Raw genomic sequence first — 9,183 nt, 5'->3', positions numbered from 1 at the left:
TCTCTGTGCATTTGGACAGAAAGAGCAACTTGAGTTGCTAAAGGGACAAAGGACAGAGGCCAAGTAATTAAATGTAAGAACAGGGCCAGCTCTATAATTAAGATAGGCAAATATTAAAAAAGGGCTGGCTCTATAATTTGTGAGGCCCTGTGCAAAATGAAAACATGGGGCTTCATGTTCAAAAAATATTAAGAATTTTAAGATGGTAGAGCAGAGCATTCTCAGAGCAGGATCCTGTGCAACTACACATGTCCCATGCCCATGAAGCTGGTCCTATCCAGGAGCAATGGAAAACTATGAAAGATTTTAAGCATGAGAATGGGAAGAGGTAATTGGCATTTTAGAAAAATCCCTCTGGCTTTATCACAGAACATAGCTTAGAAAGGAAGCCACATTTGAAGAAGGGAAACTTGCCTGAAGGCTATAAAAATAATTCAGATGATAGAAAACCTTTTCATGAACCATGGTCATGACCATAAAAATAAAGTAAAACATTACAGGATGTATTTAAAATAAAGAACACAGAAGAATTATGACAAATTGGATGGTGAGGATATAGAGGAAAATTCAAGAATGAGATTGAAGATTTTTGTTTGAGCATAAGAAACAGAGGGGGTAGAATAGGATCAGAGTGCTTTCTCTATCTAATTAAAATTATAGTAATCAGTTGTACATATAGTCTGCAATAAAAAGAGATCTATTCCAAATGTGGAAACTACAAACTTTTTGGTATTTTTTAAAAGAATTTGCAATGATAGTGTTTTTGAGCCAACCTAGAGAGATTTTTGCAGCCAGTAGCTAATAAGACTAACAGAACCAGAGAAAAAGTAACATAAAAATAATAGGCAGAGGAAGAAAAATCCTGAAAGTAAACTGTAAAAGAACAAGAGACACAAGTGGAAAACCAGAAAAGTAGAAGTCGTAGATACCTATGTATGTGTGTTAAGAAGCAATGAGTTACCGACACTGCAAATGCAACTAAAGAGTCAAGTGTAAGAACTGAAGAGGTTTTTGTAATTTAAAAATAGTCACAGTGGCCTTGGTGGAAGTCGTTTCTGTACTACCTGTGTATGTGTATGTAGGGTGATGAGGAAAAATACATTTCTCTAGGCAGCTCAAGAAGATTGGTTCTGAAGAGTTTAAAAAATGAGTTGATTTCAAGTAAGGTTAAGGGAGTGAGAATAGGAAAGCAATGAACATTTCAACACGCTGATAGAAAGGTGTAATAGACTGAATAATGGTCTCCCAAAGATGTCTATGTTCTTATCCCCAAACCTGTCAATATGTTACCTTGCATAGAAGATTTGACTTTGCAGATGTGATAAAATTCAGTGTCTTGAGATAGGAAGGTTATCTTGGATTATCTGTGTGGGCTCAATGTAATCACAATGGTTTTTATAAGAGAAGTGTCAGAATCAGAGGAGATGTGAAGACAGAAGCAGAGAAACAGAGATTGGAGTCATATGATTGCTAATGGGAATCATATGTGCAGAAATCCAGGAAGCCTCTAGAATTTGGAAAAGGCGAGGAAACATCTTCTCCTTTAAAGCCTCCAGAAGGAACCCAGCTCTGCTGACATCTTGATTTTAGCCCAGTGAACCCATTTCAGACTTCTAACCCCTGGAACTGTAAACTAATAAATCCAGTAAGTTCTGAAGGCCTTGTACAGATAGAAGTCTACACATAGAGTGACATCTGTCTGCATGGTTGTGTGGTTTTCTTTGTAATTGCTCTTAAGGTCAGATTCAGAAAAGTCTGAGGGTTGGGTTGATTTAGAGTTTGGACACAAAGGCAAAGGAAGTGGTATCATTGGCAAGAAGGTAGCTAAACGGATTGATGATGGGTTCTAGATGTATTTGATCTAAACTGCTACTGAGAGAAGTTGAGAAATTTAAGGGAACAGTTAATAGAAATGACTAATTTTGCCTCCATTCACATTGATCTCCAAGCTCATTTTCTCAGCTACTTCATAATGTATCTATCAGTATATAGCAAAATTAGTAGGAATATAGAATCTAGCACTGGATAGCGGGAGACTAAAAAAGAAACAAACAGGAGATTTGAATAGTCACAAACTCAGTTATGTCCCCTAATCTTGGGTGGATTATTTTAACACTGATTTAGAATTACTCCTCAATTCATAAATATAATTATTGCTGTTACTTGGGATGCCTATTGAAATTCCCTTAACATCTTTATCACAGTGGATTCTTAGTAAATATTGTTTACCTTTATTCAATTTAAACATTTGCAGAAGCTCACTTTTCAGTGCCTTTCAGTAATATATTATTTTAAATGCATGGCTTCCCATGCATATAAAATATTAATTAAAATGAATTAAATATTTTGAGAAATATGATTTACCTTACCTGGTATGACTAAATGCAGAAGAAACTTCTGAGGTTTTAGTTAAATATATGTTTTAATATAAATTTATAAAATCCTGTAACCTAAATTTTCTTAAAATAGTTAATGTGAAGATTCAGGCTCAGGAAGATCAGGTGTATTTATTTCTGGTCTGCTCAGTATCCTATTCTTCAGAGATGTATTTACCATTATTATGATCATTGACTGGTTCTGGTGTGACTGAACACATTTCCAAGGCCCATTGGCAATAGTGTGCACATACATATCTGACCAGTCAGAGTTCTCCATTCATAGACAAGTAATTAGTCCATAAATCAGTATACGATCCAAACTGGGTTAATAAGAATCTGGGCTGGGTCTTGCACTGAAGCCATTTGGCAAAACACATACTTTTATTTTTCTTGCATGTCAGTCTCCAAGGAACATGTAAGTTGACAGTTGCCTGGGAAACTTGCTGCTGTATTGGACCACATCTATCTGAGAGTGAGTCCAAATTGAAATACGGATAGAAAGATAAAGAGTTCTTACAGCTCTTTGAATTCCTGGAGCCAGCCATGCCTGAAGATAGTGCCATCCTTTGAGTCAATAAGTTATTTTTGTGCTGAGGTAAGATTGAGCTGTGTTGTCATTTGTAACAAAAATAGCTGTGACTAATAAGAGGGAGTAAGTGATGGTTTGCCTTTATCAGGGGTAGGATTCAAAATTCAATGAAAATATTCTATCACTTTGTTTTCTCTGGGTGAAAGTCTTAGTCATCCCAATATTTCAACAGCTTCATGTTTCATGTCAGAGATAATTTTTACATGGTTTTGAGTATAGTGTAAACTTTGCTGTAATTACAAGGAAAATCTCTATCCAAATTATAATATAGGAGATGCATCCAAGAAATTACATCATAAAAGTACTGAATGTGTGAACTTGGATATCATAAACTTGGGGGAAAATAAGCACAAAACCATCCTTATAAATTTGAGGAAATGATGTTGGTTTTGATTCACCAGGATAATCAATAATCTTCCTATATAGCCATGCTATCTAAAAACATTGTGTGATAGAAATAATCAATTTTTAACATTTTAATCCTGTGTATTAAATGTGTAAACACAAAGAGAAGCATTTTTTCACATAGTTTATAGGAATTTTTATTTGTATATTTAAGCTATTTCTTATAGGATATTTTTATATCTGACTAACTTCTATAAGTTCACGTCGAATTGTGTATAACAATTTTATGTAATGTTTAACATCATTTTAGAATATTATGGATAAAGAGTTTGTATCTTTTTTTTTTTTTTCCTTTTTGAGATGGAGTTTTTTTCTTGCTCTTGTTGCCCAGGCTGGAGTGCAATGGCATGATCTCGGCTCACCGCACCCTCTGCCTCCCAGGTTCAAGCGATTCTCCTGCCTCAGCCTCCCGAGTAGCTGGGATTACAGGCATGCGCCTCTATGCCTGGCTAATTTTGTATTTTTAGTAGAGACGGGGTTTCTCCATGTTGGTCAGGCTGGTTTCAAATTCCCGACCTCAGGTGATCTCCCAGCCTTGGCCTCCCAAAGTGCTAGGATTACAGGCGTGAGCCACCGCGCCCGGCCAAAGGTTTTGTATCTTTAACAGTAAAATAATATTTAAGCTTAAGTAATCATTCCTTATTATAGGGGCATTTATATGAATGCTAAATAACTTTGATTTAATTTCCCAGTTAATAACCTTATTAACAATATTCTAGTAAGCAAGGATAACTACTGATATAATGATAGAGGCAGGAGACAGAGAAATTCTAGAGGTGGGTCTCTGGCAAAACCCCACCTTCGAGCCGCAAAGCCTGAAACCCTTGACCCAAAGTGAGAACTATTCTTGTTTTCCTGCTTGAAAGTTGCCTTTTCCTAAACTACCCATGGCCCACCCTGCCCCCCATCCTGTGCCTATAAGGACCCCAGATTCAGCTGACAGAAAGAAGAAACATCTGGGCATTGGAGAGAGGTGACTTTGACTTCCGAGACGGCAGCTGAAGAGAGGCAACTTGACTTCAGAAAAGAGGCAGAGGCATCTTGACTTCAGGGGAGAGTGATCTTCCCTTCCCGTTCCCTTTCCACCTTTCCTCTCCACTGAGAGCCGCTTTCATCACTCAATAAAATTCTCTACATTCACCATCCTTCAATTTGTGCACATGACCTCATTTCACTTGGGCACCAGACAAGAATTCCGGATGTACTGGGTGCGGGTACCCAAAGAAGGCTGTCACACTGGCTCTTTGCCCTCGCTGGCAGAAGGCAGCCACCCCATGCAGCAAGGCAAAGGGCCCCTGAGCTATTAACACTTAACCCGTCCACAGACCGCAGAGCTAAAAGAGCACTGTAACATGCCCTCTGGGGCTTTGCGAGTTGCACGCACCCCCACCTGGATGCTGCCACGAGGCCCACAGGGAGTTTGCTCCTGTTGGTGCCCAAAAGCAGCTGGCCGGATCCCGCACTCGCTCACCTGTGTGCTCCCTCCCGCAAGGGTTTGCACGGGGTGGGTTGAGTAAATGAGGCACCCCTGTTGCAAGTCCTGTGAAGGGGTCCAGGAAATATCTTGCATCACGACCACATTTGGCTTTGTCAGAAAAGCCCTCCAACATCCATCATCTATAGAGCTTTATGGATTTTAAGGATTTTATTTGAGATAAATTCATTGGTTTCCAATTTGTGGCTTAGCTAATTTCCTTTTTTTTAAATTTTTTTTTTATTTTGAGACAGAGTCTCACACTGTCGCTCAGGCTAGAGTGCAATGGTGTGATATTAGCTCACTGTAACTTCCACCTCCCGAGTTAAAGTGATTCTCCTGCCTCAGTCTCCCAAGTATCCGGGACTGCAGGCGGGCACCACCACGCCGAGCTAATTTTTGTATTTTTGTAGAGACAGGGTTTCACCATGTTGGCCAGGATGGTCTCGATCTCTTGATCTCATGATCCGCCCACTTCGGGCTCACAAAAGTGCTGGGATTACAAGCATGAGCCACCACACCCAGCCAGCTAATTTCCATTTTTAGTGATTGTTTTTTGTCATTGAGAGACACCAGTTTGAGAATACAGTGCTATGAATAGTGCAAGACTGGACATATTAATATGTAGCTAACTTACTTGTAATATGGAATATATAGTCTATGTGGTAAAGGTTATACTAGCTTAAAAAAACACAAACACACATATACACAATACACTAATCTAACAGCATCAAAGAAAAGTTCAGTCTAAATGTCTTCACAGGAGTCAGCAGGCAAAGGTACTAGAACATTTGCTGAAGGGGATTGTTATCTATACATTCACCTTTGTACTTATTTATTACAATTATGTTTGGTTTGTCCTTATATTTACTATCATTATTAATAATTTTCTAAAATAATTTTATTTTCATATCACTTACTATGCCATTAATCTATTATATTTAATAACTGTCATTTGTAAACATTAAAAATAACTATAGGATCTATTTTTCTATTTATTTTCTCATTTATATTCATTTCATAATGCTGTAACTAGATACATAGTATCTCCATTAGGGAGAGTAAACAAGTAATATTGGATATCAAACAGGGACTTATATTATCTAATATAACTTTGATTCAGTTACCTTTTTACTTACTTCTGACCACTGAGCAGGCATGAATAGCTCAATGTTTTATTACTGTTTATAGATCAGTTCTTAAATACATTTTTCATGTCTAAGAAAAGAGAGTGCAAACTGAAAACATCTTTCTGTCCACTCAACTTTGTCCCTGCACCCTACAAGATAGAATTTACCTTAATGAATTCACCTCTGTTAAGAATCTAGTAAAGACAAATATAATAGACTCATCTGGAGGGCATATTTTAAAAATCTGTATACCTCAGAGTGAAACACACATTAACTAATCTCATCCAGACCACTCAAAAAACCTAAATGTGAATATGCTAATTTATAATAAAAATGCAATGCAATAAGAATGTGGGTTAGTGCTTTTTTCCTAAAGCTTAGTAACTTATAAAGTCAAATTATAATCCAAATAATATTTTATAAACTAAACAACAAACGGGAAATATGAATTTGTTTTTCCTTACTGAAGGCAAGTACTTCAATCATCCAAAAGGGAATTACCGGATATTAAGAAGTATCTTTTAGCTACATAGCCACAAGTGTTATCCTTCACTTTGGGAAACCTTAATAAAGGAACCCAGATGCTGGGTTCTATATAGCCAAAAGTCCCTTCTCCAAAACCATCCTCACTGCTGTGCTTGCTTTCCACTTATGTCCAACCCTCATGTATCTAATAGGTCCTATGGAGGTCTTCCTTAATGTGATACTAAATTATGTCTCTTTTATAACACTGGAGTATTGTCTTCATAGCACTTGTCGAAATTGTGATTGTAAATCAATTTAAGTGATTACTTAGTGTCTGTTGAAATGTGAGCTCCAGAAAGTCAAGGATCTTACCTGTTTTGCTCATTATTTTGTACACAATGCTTGACACAGTAAGCATTGGGTAAATATTTTGTGTGTGCTGCAAATGATAAATGAGCCTCAGTCTCTAAGCTTGGCATGACATATGCTTGATCAAATTTTGATTTAAGTGTAAATCTGGCTTCCGTAATTTAACTCTTTTAAGATTACTGTGATTTGAGTTCTGGGTCCTCCTACACATGCAGGATCTAATTGTTCACTCCCACATATGGTTAAGTTTATTGCATGTAAATTTCCCAGTTAACTCTCAGGACAATCATATATTTTAAATGTCTAGGGTGGTCACTTCTGTCATTACAATGTACCTTCCTCTGTAGCAGTTACAGTCCACAACAGAAAATATTTATTTGAATGTATATACTTACAGCATTTTATTGTTTAAATTCAATTAGTTCCAATATATATTTTTATTCAATTAATTATGTATACCACAGCATGTAGTTCATCTATATAAGAAGTTATACCTACAGGAATATGTATGTATTTATGGGCAAGTAAGACTGTATTTGCTGATCTGAAGGCCTAAAATAAGAAGTCCACCATGTGTCTCATTCAATTACAGACTTCTTCATAATGAATGAATAAATAGATAAACAAACATAAGATAAAGAGCGGTAGATATTTACACAGTACTACGGAATTTCCTTTTAATATGATTTGGTCTATACAATGCAAAAAATGTCATAATGATATGACAAGAGTTAACTGGAGATAGATATGGGAAACAAAAAGCATTGCTTAGTCCGTAGACTACTACATAAATACCGATAACTGTCAAGAGCTGTGAAGGGTCTGAGATTTTAACCTACTTACAAAAAAACAATTTAGACTACCATCATTTTATGAATGTTAGTAGAAGACACAGACTCCTTGTTATACACAAAGGATAGTTGATTATTCAGAGCAACTGTAGTAGCTAAAATATCATAATTTTGGTAGAAAAATAAATAGAAGGTGAGACAATGGAGATACAAATTAAATTGTAAAAGATGCTTTGAAGATTTTTCTATGAAGAAGAATAGAAAATGTCCCTCACAGGAGGAGTTGTAGCATCAAGTAGGAAGAATTTATTTTTGTTTTGTTTTGGGTTTTAGAAAATAGAGTTATAATTATTTTGGTAGGAGTCACTGGAACAGCTAATACTTATAATCCAGTGGATCCAGATAATTTGATGAAGAAGGTGATGAATAATGAGTAAAATTTTGAGTAAAGTCAAACGAATATTCAGAAGCGAAGACAAGAGAGGACTTTGATAAGATTAAGAGGATAAGATAATAGACACATGAGGAATAAAAATTTTTATTGGATTATTGACGTATTGGTTGATAAAATAGTTTTTGTTCTGTGTTAGGTTATATTTTCTCAATGAAATACGAAGTGAAATCATTATCTAAGAGTCAAGGGTGCTAGAGAAAGGAGGTGGTAAGGACTTGGAAGAGAAACGAAAATATACTAATGGAAATATAGTAGAAGAGGGTGGATTATTTGAGGTCAGGAGTTCGAGACCAGCCTGACCAACGTAGTGACACCCCATCTCTACTAAAAATACAAAAAATTAGCAGGGTGTGGTGGCTCTTGCCTGTAGTCCCAGCTACTCAGGTGGCTGAGTCACGAGACTCGCTTGAACCCAGGAGGGAGAGGTTGCAGTGAGCCGAGATCGCGCCACTGTACTCCAGCCTGGGTGACAGAGTGAGACTCCATCTCAAAAAATAAAAATAAAAAAAAAAAAAAGAAAAAGAAAAAGGGAAAAAAAATTATAGAGTTCTTTGGCAGTGAGCTTTGTTTATTTGTGTTTGTAATTGTGAATTAATACTGAAACTGATTATTATGCTTGTGATATTTTCTCCCAGCTACAACCAACAGCTTGATGACACATGCAGAGATGGAATACCCTGTGTTCAAGGATGACAGAGGTTAAGTGGGCAAAAGAATCGTGAATGTTTTCAATGGAGTCAATAAAATTAATGATAGGTAAATAAATCCAAATTGAATGAAGATGGAAGTGCACTGAAGAGTGTTCTGATGAATAAAGAATAAAGAAAATAAAGAAAGTAGAACATATCAATTGAACCAATAAGAAATGGTGGTAGGAAAGTGAAGTGTTTAAAATAAAGCTTTTGAAAGTGGTATATATCTTGCCACTACCTAGAATTGAGGGATGCAGGCAAAGCATTAACCTTTACAGAGAGTGAAATTTTAGTTAACATCAGGAGGAGCACAGAAGAAAAAGATGGATGATACATGAATTTTTAATTCCATATATCATCTGATTCAGAGTTACTACCAAGGGCACTGCATTGTAGTCTGGGCGCTCACTAAGGGGATGAAAGATGACAGATAAAA

General features: G+C 36.5%; 1 long non-coding RNA gene across 1 annotated transcript; it reads left to right on the top strand.

Moving 5' to 3' along the window:
* The first annotated feature begins 2,591 nt into the window (after window positions 1–2,591).
* Window positions 2,592–8,835, top strand: LOC124903311 (uncharacterized). Its single transcript, XR_007064151.1, has 2 exons — window positions 2,592–2,973; window positions 8,691–8,835. It is a non-coding gene; the product is annotated as an uncharacterized LOC124903311 (long non-coding RNA).
* The last annotated feature ends 348 nt before the right edge of the window (window positions 8,836–9,183 follow it).

The sequence above is a fragment of the Homo sapiens genome, chromosome 14, assembly GCF_000001405.40.
Source record: "Homo sapiens chromosome 14, GRCh38.p14 Primary Assembly".
Classification (NCBI taxonomy): domain Eukaryota; kingdom Metazoa; phylum Chordata; class Mammalia; order Primates; family Hominidae; genus Homo; species Homo sapiens.
Note: the sequence above shows the minus strand (reverse complement) of the source record. Positions and strands in the feature narration are given on the sequence as shown.